Below are 15,682 nucleotides of genomic sequence, written 5' to 3'. Positions count from 1 at the left end.
AGGATAAATGACTTCTTGCTTCCAGCAGCTGCTCTACTTAACCAAATTGTTGTACACACCCATACCGACACACAAACACAACACTGGATTAAGTTCTAAGATATGTTTGAATCCACACAGTCATGGCTCTGGATTAAGGACTCCTCTACACACAATTGTAGCTAAACTGCATTACTTCTTCCATTAATCAATGGATAATTTATTTATCAAATGCCTCATGGCTCAAGTAAAATTTCAAATTTTTAAGCACACACCATACACAATCATCCCCGATTGCTCTCCATGGTTGCTTTTAAACCCATCCCCTTTTCTGAAATACTGGAAAGAAAGGGACTCTTCTTTATTAAACACGTTGGTTCCCATTTTGTTTCATAAGGTGGCTATACTCATTATTTTTAGGAGCTCTCCAGTTCTCCATTCAGTGCATAGACAGCTCCCTGAAATATTTAATTACTGATCATGCTATCCTCCTGATCTTCTTTTCTCCTTGGTCTATGCACCCACGGCTGATTTGCATCTTCTGTCAAAGTCCCTACAGATGAAACTATATGTCCGCCCCCCAACCCCACTGATTTATATGTATATATATAAACTCCTATTCTTCAAAGAATGCCAGTTAGAAAGGTTGTTAATCACCACATGCTTGTTCTGAATTGTATTGTTCTGCGTTGCATCATGCAGCTTGATTGTAAGCTCCACGGGGCAGAGCCTTTGTTTGCCATGCCCTGACTATTGTTCAGCACAGTGCACATTGATGGGACTATAGAAAAAACAAACAATGGCTTTTTCCACGTTTCCATTTTAATTGTCAAATGGGATGGTTTAAAAGCACAATTCACACAAGAAGTTGAGTATACAGCCTCTGAAATGCCTAAAATAAGCCATGTGAGCTTTAGAGGTTAAGGCTATCTTTTTAAAGTGTAACTTTCAACTTCTGTTCATTTGCCATTCTTTTTCTCTGAAAATTACCTGAAAGTCAACCATGCATATCTAAATGATTGCAGGTAAGCTTAGCTCATGTGACTTGGGGGAAAACTAACTGAGCATAGAATCTAGTACTCAAATATGCTTGGCACTGCCAGAATTACAGGGATCGCAAACAATCTGTTAAAGGATTTCACAAGCTGGCTCTGTAAAAGGTACCATTTCCCAGCAAAGACCACAATTAGCACCATGGACAGCAGACGGTACAGTCTAACCTGTGTTTTTTGTGAGGGAGCAATTACAAAATAAGAAAAAAAATCGACAGGTAATCTCTTGCCAAAGCACAATTTGCATTATCTCTAGGAAACGGCAAGCATAGCAGTTCAGGCAGTTGCCAAGTGTTTTAACTGCTTCTGCCTGACATTAATTCCTATTGCACATCTCCTATAGCACAGTTGGGATAGTTTTAGTGCATCTTTGGATTCCGTATCTTACTAAACAGAGTGCTGACTGAATGGTCAAAGATCTAGATGAACTCTAAAAAATACCAATATTACAGATGACAGACATGTAAACACCATAAACATAAAATCAGATCCCAGGACAATTGACTTATAAATGGATGTATCATACAGGTCTAAATGCACGGCTTCTCTAAGGTCTAATACATAAGCACAGACAATAAGTCTATGTTTTAAAATAAGTTCATAGCCATATGTTTTAGAAATTCCTATATCAGTTTATTTGATTAGTAGTGATCTTTTATCTCTGAAGACAGAATGATAGAATGTGGAGTTTTCTATAATTTCTGTATCCTAATTATTTCCCAGGGCATTTGTCAAAAGCAGAATCTCAGACTCCACTCCAACTATTAATACAGATCTTCTAAGAGAGAATCTTAGATATCTCTGTTTCTAAAAACCCTCCCGGTTGATTCTTATTGATTAGGCAATGGTGCTGGAATAGTAAAATGGTAAAATGAAATTGGAAACATCAAGCACTGGTTTCTTGTTTGCATTGTTTGGATACTGACAGACACCTGCCTGTAGGCCTTGGGTCAGTTATTTTAGCATTTGAAACCTCCTTTTTCTCAAACAGGAAAAGAAGGATCTAGATTGGGTATTCTCTATGGTACTTTTTTACTCTAACATTCATTCTAGGATTCCAATTAAGAAGATGAGCTGGATCATATTGTTTTCTGATTCATCTTTACATATCTGAGAGATTAAGTAAGCTTGCCAAGAACAAAGCACATTTGCTTTGTTGTTTCTCTTGATACATATAACTCAAGGCTAATTTCCCTACTGCATGTCAATGCATTAACACTGATGTAGGAATAAAACCTCCTTGAGAAATTTGGATTGTGGGGGTGTTTGGAAGGGGGAAAGCAATAAGTAAAAGTGTTTGATACAAAGATTAATTTAGGTTTTAGCAGACTCTTAGAAGGCTCTTTAAACATCTATTCATGATATGGCCACAAGCCCCTGGAGAGTCAAATAAATTATTCTAAGATTCTTTCATAAGATAATGGAGGCTAATTTGAAGAAGTAAATAGTAATTGCAATATTAAGCAATTCAAACCACTGTTACAACTATTTCTGGAACTCCCCATGCTGACAGATTTATTTGATGCTAAGTCCTTTTCCCTCATCTTTTAAAAAGCATTTTACATAATCCGGCATTACCTATTTTACATATGTGGCATTTTGCTTAGCATTAAAGTAGTTTATTTGAGAAGATTCTTTACAGACTATTCTGGGGAACAGCCTGCTACCCTCTTCATGTAGACGCAAAAGATGCAGGGATGCTTGTTTAAATGTGGTTTCTCTTAACAGCTTGTAGAGCTAGGGAGCAGAACAAGAGTGTAAACATTATTAAAATAATCTATAGTGCCAAATGCAAGGAAGCAAATGCCAAAACTTCTCCAAAAGTAGCATGGAATTGACAGAGAATGCATACTCCAGTATTTACACTCTTGCTTTACTATGACTTACCAAGGTTCATGCACCAGCCACGTGTACTCCTCCTCTTACAACAGGTGTTTCTAGTCAGTAATCCAGTGGAACACAGTAAATAAAGACCCAGGTAGGCCTAGTAACCCACAGATTTGCTTTAAGATTTTAATAGTCTCCTTTGCTTTTCTGGTCTTTGGGAAACATGCATGCATGCGCGCACACACACACACACACACACACACACACACACACACACACACACAAAGTTGTTTGTATAAAACCAATTCATTCCCATTGTTTGCCGGAATTCAACAATGTTCCAACCCTGACAACAAAGGCATTAGGTAAAAAAGAATGCAATAGATAAAATCTTGTGGATCCCATAAAAAAGAATACAAACATAGGGATTTGTGATAATGCCAAGGACTTTCAATGTAACCACCTCTGCCCTTTGTAAAACACTAGCTGTTCTCCACATGTACATGAATGGAGTTCAAATGCAGAGCTGAGACACAGCTAAGTCCTTGGGATTCTCTTTTGAATATTGTGTAGGAGAGTGTAGTGAGGAGTATGGAAGCCGTTTCTGCTAGGCATGAATTTTAATCTATACCCCGTGGCCTCCTAGAGTTCTGAAGGTTTTGTACGAATGAGACAGGAATTTACCCGTGCCCTGAAAAAAGATGATGTTATAGGCCATTTTCCTTGGCAACAGGATATGTATGTGGTCCCTCCAAGGAGACTAACCGTGCCTGACAGCTGGTGAGTCTCGTGCTACTTGAATTGGTTTACTAGTAGTTAATCCAGTTCCAGGCATTAATTGACAGTGGCTGGATGTGACAGGGCTATTTTGGCTTTCCTTTTTTACTATAGAATCTAAAAGATAAAAGAAAATTACTGAGGTTGCTGGTTACAAGTTTGGATAGCTCATTATAAAATCTCTTTCGAGATATAGAAAATCTTGTTCTCTGCAATTTTTTTTGTATCACTACCTAATTTTTAAAACTAAAGTCTTGGCTGTTCTAATTTAGTACAAACTTATCCATCACTTCCTATTGTCAATTGTGGAAATACTGTTATGTAGTAAAAATTTCTTAAATAGGTTTTAAGCTCCTAGAAGTTAAGTTAGAGCTAACATATTTCTGGACACATAGTTGTCATATATTGAATTAACAAATAAATACTGACAATGTGAACAATAGTGATGAAAATGTTTTTGAGTGTGTCAGGCATATATTACGTATTTTATTTGCATTATTTCATCTGATTTTCAGAACAACCAAGTTAAATATTTTTTCATAAAAATTAACAGGATAAGTAATTTGCCTAAGATCCCATAGTAAATAAGTAGCCAGGAAACCAGTCATGTCTTGCTACTTATTTATAACTTTAAAATGTCTTATGAAGAACTTATATCTGACTACTAAGATTCATGTAAATGTACAGATGAAAAAGTACTAGTCATATTTTTCACATTTTATAGTATAATGTTAAGTAAATGAGCAAGATACAGGATACTAGATGTTATATAATTGTATATGCATAAGTATATACACACATACATACAAGTATTTCTTTACACATACACACATTCATGCTTGAAAAATGTGAGCGCACTTTCTTCTGGCTAGTGAAATTGCAAGTGATTGTTTTATGCTTTACACTTATGTCTGTTAGTTTCAAATTTGTATATGTATTAATTGTATAATAAATATTATATTTTTTATTATTATACTTTAAGTTCTAGGGTACATGTGCACAACGTGCAGGTTTGTTACATATGCATACATGTGCCATGTTGGTAATAAATATTTTTAAAGACATCTAGCAAACTAGAACTCTGAGATCAGCAATTGATGCAGTCCAACCCGAGCAGGACTTCATGAAGGAAGGCAATTGAGCTAGTCTAAAAGATTCCATCAGATTTACGCAAATGGAGAATGTAGAAAAAGATATCAACAGACAGGAGAACGCCTTTCCAGCAAAGTCAGAGGCATGCTTTGGAGCATGTTCTAAAGACAAGCACAGGCCAATTTTCCACACCAGATAGTGGCCAGCATATTTTTAAAAAAGTGGGGGAGGATCATAAGTAGAGAGGTATCCCCTATTTCACAGTATTCAGGATGAGTATATTCAGCCTTTCCCCTACCATTCCCATAAAGAAGTCTGGAAATATGTAAACCCTCAACTAAAAACTAATATTCAATTCATTTTCAAAACAGCATGTCAGCCATGTTAGTCGTGGTCCACTATCTTTGCTGTTCCTTTTTCACCCTTACATGGCACAAAGGTCCTGCTAAAGTAGATAGGCATCACATCACACTTTGAAGTCACATCACACTTTGCCTCATCATGTTGCCATATAATCTACATACACTCTACAATTTCTACCATTAGTCATTCCACTGGCATAACAGGAAAAGGCTTTTGCTTAGATGCAATAGGCTTATGCAAAGAAATAGAAAAAAGGAAAGGAATTTAACATGTACTAACAAACTGGTATTTCTCCAGGCACTTTATACATATTTCTGTATTTAGGCCTCACATATCACTTAAAATGTTTCTGGTTTCTGTGTTTGTTTGTTTGTTTCCTTTAGAAACAAAGTCTCACTCTGTCACCCAGGCTAGAGTGCAGTGGTGAGATCACAGCTCACTGCAGCCTCAACTTCCTGGGCTCAAGTGATCCTCTTGCCTCACCCTCCCTAGTTGCTGGGGCTTCAGGTATGCACTACCATGCCCAGCTATTTTTTTTTTTTTATTTTTTGTAGCATTGGATCTGGCTTTGTTGCCCAGGCTGGTCTCAGATTCCTGGGTTAAAGTCATGTCCCTGCCTTGGCCCCTCAAAGTGCTGGGATTACAGACACACGCCACCATGCCCAGCCTATTTTTAATCCCATTTCAAAGACAGGTAAACACAGGCTCCAAGGGAGCACTTGATTTGCTTAAAGCTATTTGGTTAGAATATGGGAAAAAAATGGAATCCCAATCTACCTCTGTGCTTTCCAAATCCATGGTCTTTCCATGAGGAGTCATGTTTTGTTGGAAAGAAGTTAGACTTAACGTGGTATTGTAGCATGAGCACAGAAAACCTGAGTTCTGGGACCACTGACCATCTCTCTTTATCCTTGGTGAGATAATAAAGTTCTCTGTAGTTATATCAACTATTAAAGGATGGAATTACACTCTAATAGCATTTCAGGGCCCCTTCTTTTCTAAAACCTATCAAATCTAATTATTTAACGCCACGGACAGTAAACACTTTATAAGAATGACTAAGGCTTATATTGTCTTTAAGTATGTGTCAGAAATTATTCTAAACTCTTTATATATATTATCTCATGGAATCCTGACAATTCTACGGCATAGTTATAACTACTAGATATTATTACCAATATTTTACACATAAGAAAACCAAGGCACACAGCTATTAAGCAACCAAAGGTCACATAAATGGCAAAACAGGGTCCTTAATCCAAAAACTCTGGTACCTTTTGTGCTTGTAGTGGCCATGCAACCATTAGATCTTTGGGTCAAGTTATCCTGAGAAGAGCAAACAGAGAATACACACTTCAATGGAAAATGATCCAGTGCTTAAAGGTGAGCAACCTTGTATAGCCAGAAAAGTATTGTGAGGCTACTGAATAACCAGAGTAGAAAGATCAAGAAGAAAAAAAAGGCCAATGTGCAAACAATTGTCATAGGTTTCACAGTTTGCACAAGCAGTCATAGTTTAATTGTGTGCCATCAGGTAACCTGGAATCCAGTCACATCTGTAGGCAGCAGCCCTCAGATTTTTCAGGGGAAACCATCCTTCCAGTTCTCAAAGGCAGTGGTTCTCACAGTGTGGCCCCTGTATCAGCAGCATCAGCATCACCTAAAAACTTGTTATAAATGCAAATGATCAGGCCAAAAGCCTGACATGCTGAATCAGATGTTCTGGGGCATTTGGCCCAGCAATCTGCATGTTAATAAGGTCTCGTGGGAAGGCTAATATGTGCTACAGCTTTAGAATTACTGTTTTAAGACACGTGGCTTGGCTACATCTAATCTGGATCTGAGTTTTGAAGTGCGCTTTTAAATTAGATGTGGCCAATCAGGCTTAAAAAAGTGGCTGATTCACCCATATGGAGCCCATGAGACACAGTTTTGAGAATCTTATTGGAAATGTTGAGAGGAAATCATATGAGACTGGATTTTGTTATCATTGCTAAGGGAGAGGCTGCTTTGGGAATGGTACCAACACAGAGAAATACAAAGGAGACCAAGGTGGGTGGAACTGTGTGCCATCTTCTATCAATATCTTCGGCATCTCAGAGTCACATCAACACAAACCATGTACAGTCATGTATCCATTTATTTATGTTGCTGCTTCTGCCCAGAATGTTATTCCCACTACTTTGCCTTCCTCAGGCTGAATTAACCATTTACTGTTCTCATTCATGCACCAGTTTTGTCTTATGTTGAACACAACCCTAAAGACATTCCATGGTAGGTAGTTATTTTTGTTTTTCCATACCTCTCCCACATCCAGTGAAAAAACAACCTCCTTGAAGGTAGGAGAGAAACATTTATGTATGTGTGTGTGTGTGTGTGTGCGTGTGCATATATATACACACACACACACACACACACAAATTTATTCCTATATATAATACTATAAGTATAAACACATGTTATAAATATAAATATATGCTTAATATATATTTATGTATATATAATGTTATATATAGGTGTGTGTATATATACCTTTATAATTTATACCTATATAATGTTACTATATGTTACGTATATAATATTACTATAATATAATGTTACCTACATAATATTACTATATAATTTATACCTATATAATGCTACCTATATAATTATACCTATATAATTTTTTACACCTATATAATTTACCTATCACATACCTATATAATATACCTATATAATTTATACCTATATAAATTATAAATTATTACCTATATAAATTATAAATTATACCTATATAAATTATATAGGTATAAATTTTATAGGTATAATTTATACATTTATATCTTAAAATATATTTATTATATAATTTATATATAAAGTATATAATTTCTATTATATAGGTATATAATATATAGGTATTATACCTATATATGATATCTATATAATTTATACCTATATGTTACTACATAAAGTTACCTATATAATATTACTGTATTATAATGTTACCTATATGTTACTATATACCTATATAATTTTACCTATATGTTACCTGTATAATGTTACCTATTTAATTTATACCTATACATTATTCTCCTCCCCATTACATATATACACACACACATACACACAATTATACACATTTATATACTATTTATATATATAAATGTTATATATATAGCAAAGCAACATATATATACATATCTCCCTAGTTCTCCGCATCATAGCAGTTGCTTAAAAATATGTTTGCTGAATAGATAACTTTCCTACATCACCATTGAGATTATTACAATGATCAAATGAGAATAAGACATAGAATAGACTTAGCAAAATATAAAGCTCTATACAAACATGAGTCATATTTATAATTATTAACCTCTTCTCTCGTGGGCTCGTCTTTTCCACAATTGGGCCACCATAAGAAATGACTGGGAAATAAGACTGATAAACCCTGTATATCTGTAACAAATTAATTACAAAAATAACAGCAATTCTTTGCTGTTTCTTGCATGAAATCAGCACACAAATCAAAAAAATTAACCATTGCAATAAAAATATAAAGGACAGGTTGTGGTGTTCTGATTATGCATTACATAGAGATTTGACTTAGTCCGAGTGATTAAGCACCAGAGTGGCACAAGGAGCAACTGAGATGAGGCTTTTAAGCAAAGGAAATGATAGGTGTAAAGGCCCTGCGGCAACAGGTACCTGGTGTGAGGGGTGCTGGAGAGGTAGCCAGAAGTTGTACAGGGTGCTAGGCTAGGTTAGAGAGTGGTTTTTATTCCAAGAGTAATGAGAAACCATGAAAATATGTTAAGGGAGGAATGACATAATCAGATTGCTGTTTTGAAATACTAGCCTGGATCTTGTGGCTTTTACTCAGTTAGCCCAGACCCCACTCTGATACTTTATAGTTTTTATTACTTCAGAATGGTAAGGTTAAAAATGCCATAAGTGTTTGCAACCTTTTAAAAGTTACACTTATTTTCTTTTTCCTTTTACTTGAGCTGTGAAATTTGTTAAATACTTTTAGGTTTGGGAGAGATTCCTGTTACCTGTGCATTATGAAAAATAAAGTTTGAATTTAATAGATTCTAATAACCATTATTTAAGAAAGTGCCTCACACAAAATTAAATTGTGCACACAAAAATTAATATACACATATCTGATTCTTGCATGCATTATAATGTATTTACTAACTTCATTTTTTAATATTTAAAATAAATGTGGACTGCCTAAGGAAAATTAACATTTACAAATTTTTTTTTAAATAATAACTCTGGCAAATCATACACATAAACACCACAGAAGCATGTGTTCTTATCAATTTTGAAATTAGAAATTATAAAACATGGGTGCTTCCAGCCACTTCTTTTACTTGACATCCAATTAAAGTAATGTTGCACTAAAAAGAAATATAGAAATCCCTAAGGAAATTGGAGAGATTGTATACAAAACCTCTTGGCACAATCAATAATGTGCTTTGACTATAGAATTCTTCAGTTTATTCTAGAGAAGTAGAAAGTCATTTGTTACATTTTCCCCCTAGATTCTAGTTATTATGCTAACTTTATATTCTTTTAAAAATTGTTTTGTTTAATTTGGATGTTCCAGCAATATTGTTTGCAGATGTTTGACACTGCCCCGCCTAAATCACAGATTCGACACTCCCACATAATCTTCATGTTTCTCCACTGCCACTTTAGGAACACATGATTGCTATTGTCAGCTACAATTACCACCCACTGCAGAGGTTTGCTTAAGCTGATTAGTTAGAGAAGGTATACATATTTCAGCAGCTTTGAGACAGAGAAAACTATGTATGTAATTCACCATATGATACTTTGTATTCCATTACAACAGAGGAGAAACAAGGTAGAGAAAAACTATAACAGAGGGAAAGGAAGGTATAGACAACCAAGGGATAACGTGAAAGACATGAAACCGCAGTGGGCACCTCATGCCAACTGTGGCCCCATTCTAACTTTGGCCAGCATGCCCTGAGTAAGGGGTCCCCACACTCAGCACTATTGACAATACTTTGTTGTAGGCGGTAGTCCTGTGCAATGTAGGATGTTAGCAGCATCACTGGTCTCTATAAACCACTCCTTCCCACCAGTTGTGACATGCAGTAATATTTCCTGTGGAAGCAAAATTGCTGTTGATTAAGAACCACTGCTCCAGGCCCTCCGAGTTTAGAACAAAGATAATCTGCTTGTCACTCACTTTCCTCCTGAAGTTGGTAGGATCTTCTGGAAAGTATCTAGTTGTGAGACTCCTTACTAGCAAATATGCTTACAATTAGTTCTGACTTCTCAGCCATTATGCTGTCCTGACTCTTCTCCCCAAATCTGCTTATTTAATAAGAATGCTATCAATAACAAAATCAACAAAATGAATAACCAATGTTTATAAAATGGTTAAAATGTGCCAGGCCTTGTTTTCTAAGAAAATTTTATATTAAAAAATATTTGGAAGTGGAGTTATATATATAATTTTGGACTCTATGAGATATCTTTATCTCACATAATCTTTAAACAAAAACCTATGAGATAGATGATATCTTAATTTATAGCTAAATCAATTGGCATTTAGAAATACTAAATAACGTTCTTAGGGGGGAAAACAATCTAAAATTCTGACATCTCTTTCAAGGCCTTTCCGTATCTGGCCACCACTGTCCTCTGCAGACTCACCCCTTACTGTCTGGATCAGCTAGGCTTCATTTCAGTCCCCCAAACAAGCTAGTCAGTCTGTGGGAATCCACATGTGCTGCCCCTGCTCTGGCAGACCTGGTTCCCTGAATTCCCCTACTCACTAACGTGGCTTTTCATTCTCTGGCTTCAGCTTTGACCTGGGTTCTATTAGACAAGCCTCCTCTAGCCCCCATGATTAGGTCCTCCTTTGGAGACTCACTGTACTTGATATTTGCTATTGTCTCTATCTATTTCCTCCATGTGCCCCTGCACTCTCAGAATTAAGGAACTTTTTAGTCCACTGCTATTTCCCCGGTGCTCAACAGTGCTGGGCTGCAAGCTCCCATCATGTTATAAATGTTATCAACTTACCAACTGAATGAATGAATAACGAATTACTATTCCCAAAGCGATTTAGCTCAGAAGTAGTGGAAAAAGGATGTTTTACTTGGATCTCCCTGATTTTGAAGGCAATTCCAAACCTTTTGGGCCTATTAGACCGCACCTGCCTGAAAAGTTCCTCTGTCCTGTTGGCTTCATTTTAGCTCTTCTTCCCAGCTACAAACTGTGTGTGACCTTGTATGAAGGCAACTCGAGACATATGGGTATCATATGATCTCATCTCAGAAATACTAGTGATTAAAATGATTATTTGTGATTCCATAGAACACACACTTACAAAGAGGAAATGGACTATTAAACTGAAAAATCAAAATCAGATGACTTTAATAAAAATCACAACCAACAATGACCCATTTTTAAATTCTGTACTAGATCTTATCAGTTCACATGATAATGAATTTAAGACTGTGGTGCAGTTTAAAATGCCAAGCATCACCCTCTGTGACTGTTAACAAATGGAGTTCCACCATGTGTGAAAATTTCATGATGATACAATCTGTGCTTCCCAATATATTTCAATAGATAGCAAGTGGTTATGGTTAAGACTTTGCTAACCAGTCTTCAGATTTCATTGAACTTCATTGTGATTGGATGACCTCCTCAAATCCAATGACAGGCAATGGCACAATTCTCTGCAAATGAGTGAATAGACATGTTTACAACATCTAAAATGCCTCAAGAAATATGTTTAATTCTGCACAGGCTAACAGCTGTTTGCTCAGTGTACTGTATATAGGATAAAATAATCAAGTCAAAAATAATATATAACTTATTGGAAAAAGATATTAAAGACAACTACTGTGTAAACATCCACTTTGGAGCCAGATGCCAAATGTCAACATTTCAAATCTATGGGTAACTGCAATTTCTGATCTTTTCTACTGCTTGTGGTTTTGTAATTAGTTCACTGGGCATGGATTATTGAAAGGCTATTAATCTAAATTCATGATTTAATTCTGCAATTTTTAAAACCCTCTCAACTGATAGCTAAAGCTTAAGTTCTAGAGCCCAACTTAAAATGAACAAGTGAAAAATGAAAAAATGAAAAAAATGAAAATGAAAAAAAAATCAGCTGACACCCACCTCCAAGAAAAGCAACAATAAAAAATATCTGGAAGGGCACTTCCCTTAACCCTTCACCTTGAGGAATTCAAAGTAATAAATAATATGGTGGTAGTGAAATGACTATAATTCTTTGAGACTAACATACAGTGATGACTTGCATCTCCATAATTGGATTATATATTATCTTACATAAAGCTTTTCCCACTGGTCTCTTAAGTTACTGATACTGCCTGCCACGGCTTACATCTCCTTTGAAAGCAAAGTTAGTATAACTTTTTTTTTATGCTTAAGTACATATTTATACATGTAATACATTATAAAAACATTCTATTAAAAATGCCATTTTAAAGTTAATTTCTCTTAGCCAACTCCCTACTCCCTCTGAATGGGAGGGAAGTTTCCACATCCTGTGTCAATTTATTTTTAGGTTTGTTCACTCCTTTCCCAATCTAAATTTCCTTAGTTAGATATCACAAAAAGTATGTGATAAAGTATTTGTGAAGGGTCGGGTGCGGTGGCTCATGCCTGTAATCGCAGCAGTTTGGGAGGCCAAGGCAGGTGGATCACCTACGGTCAGGAGTTCAAAACCAGCCTGGCCAACATGGTGAAACCTATTCTCTACTAAAAATACAAAATTAGCCGAGTGTGGTGGTGCATGCCTGTAATCTTAGCTACTCAGGAGGCTGAGGCAGGAGAATCGCTTGAACCTGGGAGGCAGAGGTTGCAGTGAGCCAAGATCGCGGCACTGCACTCCAGCCTGGGCAACAAGAGTGAAACTCCATCTCAAAAAAAAAAAAAGTATTTGTGAGGAGGACATCGTAGCCTACAGAGGACTATTAAGTGATGAGTAGAAAAAGGAAAATGAGGCTGGGCATAGTGGCTCACACATGTAATCCAAGGCACTTTGGGAGGCCAAGGTGGGTGGATCACCTGAGGTCAGGAGTTTGAGACCAGCCTAGACAACATGGTGAAACCCTGTCTCTACTAAAATACAAAAATTAGCCAGGAGTGGTGGCAGGTGCCTGTAATCCCAGCTACTCGGGAGGCTGAGGCAGGAAAATTGCTTGAACCCGGGAGGTGGAAGTTGCAGTGAGCTGAGATCACACCACTGCACTCCAGCCTGGGTGACAGAGTGAGACTTTGTCTGACAAAAAAAAAAAAAAAAAAAAAAGAAAGAAAGAAAGAAAGAAAGAAAGAAAGAAAGAAAGAAAGAAAGAAAGAAAGAAAGAAAGAAAAATGAGGAAACAATCTTAATTTATTGAAGACTTACTGCGTGACAATCACAGGCGCTTGCTCCTTAGAAATGTGGTATCATGTAATCACTACTAAATTCCCATAAGATAGGAACTGCGTGATCTTATTTTTTTTTTTCTGGATATTTAGTAAAGTCAAGTAACATGGCCATGATAATCCGATAGATATTTTCAAAATCAAAATTTAAATTCATGTTTATTTTATTTCAAAGCTTATGTTCTTATAGTATATTACCTTGGATCATACAAACATTTATTAAATATCTACCATTCCTATTAGGTGTTAGGCTAAATTTTTAGAGCCCTAAAGAGTTCACAGTTAAAGGAGGAATACAAATTGATGAGTAAAAGGTTATAATAGAAGAGAAATGGAAATTAAGAGGAAAAAATAATAAATATAGATGAACTAAGGAAAATGTATTATTTTATCAGAATGTTCAGTATGACATGTTAGCTTAAAATATATTTTGTCACTATTTTTACATACAAAAAACATAAAAGTAAATGGCCTAGGATGGCATCAACCAGATATTGTTGACGTTAGAAATTACCAGCACTATCAATAAGTCCTGCATATAAGGTAAAAAACCCCTCTAACCAAATAGCTAAACTATAAAACTATGCCCATAAAGCTATTTTGTTAAAAGCTTCCTGTGTAAGTATGTGCATACATATACTTGTGTTTAACTTAATGGATTATTCCATAGATACTTCTGCATCTTACACTTTTTAAAATAAAGTACCTTGTGGCAATCTCTATGTTAATACATTACGGTCTATCACATTTATTTTCATAGCTAAGTAGTCTTCTATTGGACAAAAGTACCAGAATTAATTTCACTAATATCAATTGATAGACATTAAAGTCATTTCCAGCATTTGTTATCAAAAATTATAAATTGAACATCCTGTGAGAGTGTGTGTATGTACATGGGTGTAAATATCAACTTTTTGTGTATATTGGCAAATTATATACAGTAAGATTGCAAGATAAAATATTTACTTATAAATAACCAATTGAGCATGCTATTAAGTAGAATCCCTAATCTCTAAGTAAATTAAAAAAATAGTGATAACTGGAATTGATTTTTTTGTTTCAAATTCAGTTTAGACATCAGTTCAAATTTATTATATTCCACTGATTAATAATCAAGGCAGTTCAAGTCCAATATATTTTTATAAAGATCAAACCACTTACATTTTAAGCTATTTAAAACAATTCTCAAAGCGGAATTGTAGATGTTTGAAACTTTTGTGTTATGTTTTGATTTTCTTTTAAACTGAGTTATAACATGGAAGCCTAGCAAAACCACCTGGTTTCCTCAATAGCTCTAAGTTTTAAAATATTTTGGAGATAAAATTCACCTGATGTAAAATTACCTATTTGAAGTTGAACAATTCAGTGCCATTTAGTGTGTTCACAATATTGCACAACCACTGTCTGTATGTAGTTTCAAAACATTTTCTTCACCCCAAAAGAAAAAAGAATCTGGACCTATTAAATGGTTGTTCCCTATTCCTCCATCCACAGCCTCTGGCCAATTTGTCTTCTGTTTCTATGAGTTTACCTATTCTGAATATTTTATATAGGAAGAATCACAATTGCAACATTTTATGTCCGGTTTATATTCATTAGCATAATGTTTTAGAGATTCATTCATGTTATAGCATGTATCAATATTTCATTCCTTTTCAACAGAAGAAAAAATTCCCACTGGGCTCTGTGGCTCATGCCTGTAATCCCAGCACTTTGGGAGATTGAGGTGGGTGGATCACCTAATGTCAGGAGTTCGAGACCAGCCTGGCCAATAGTGAAATCCCATCTGTGCTAAAAATACAAAAATTAGCTGGGCGTGGTGGTGTCAGCCTGTAATCCCAGCTACTCGGGAGGCTGAGGCAGGAGAATCGCTTGAACCTGGGAGGCAGAGGTTGCAGTGAGCCGAGATAGCACCACTGAACTCCAGTCTGGGTGACAGAGTAAGACCCAACTCAAAATAAAATAAAATAAAAACTACATTGTATTTTTTACAACCATTTCTTTATTCATTATCCCCTGATGGACATTTGGGCTATTTCTTCCTGTTAGCTATTGTGAATAGTGCTATGAACATGTATGTACATATTTATGTACATATTTATTGAGTACCAATTTTCACTTCTTTTGAGTATGTTTTGATTGGGATGTTTGTGTCCTTC

General features: G+C 35.7%; 1 annotated feature.

The window, feature by feature from the left end:
* Positions 327–1,081: an enhancer, noted in NCBI's record as "OCT4-NANOG hESC enhancer chr5:165592882-165593636 (GRCh37/hg19 assembly coordinates)". NCBI's record gives its function as "activates a minimal SCP1, AML or CMV promoter by ChIP-STARR-seq in naive and primed H9 embryonic stem cells {active_cell/tissue: H9 hESC(naive and primed)}" and the evidence as "EXISTENCE:reporter gene assay evidence [ECO:0000049][PMID:30033119]".

Source organism: Homo sapiens, chromosome 5, assembly GCF_000001405.40.
Source record: "Homo sapiens chromosome 5, GRCh38.p14 Primary Assembly".
Lineage (NCBI taxonomy): Eukaryota > Metazoa > Chordata > Mammalia > Primates > Hominidae > Homo > Homo sapiens.
Note: the sequence above shows the minus strand (reverse complement) of the source record. Positions and strands in the feature narration are given on the sequence as shown.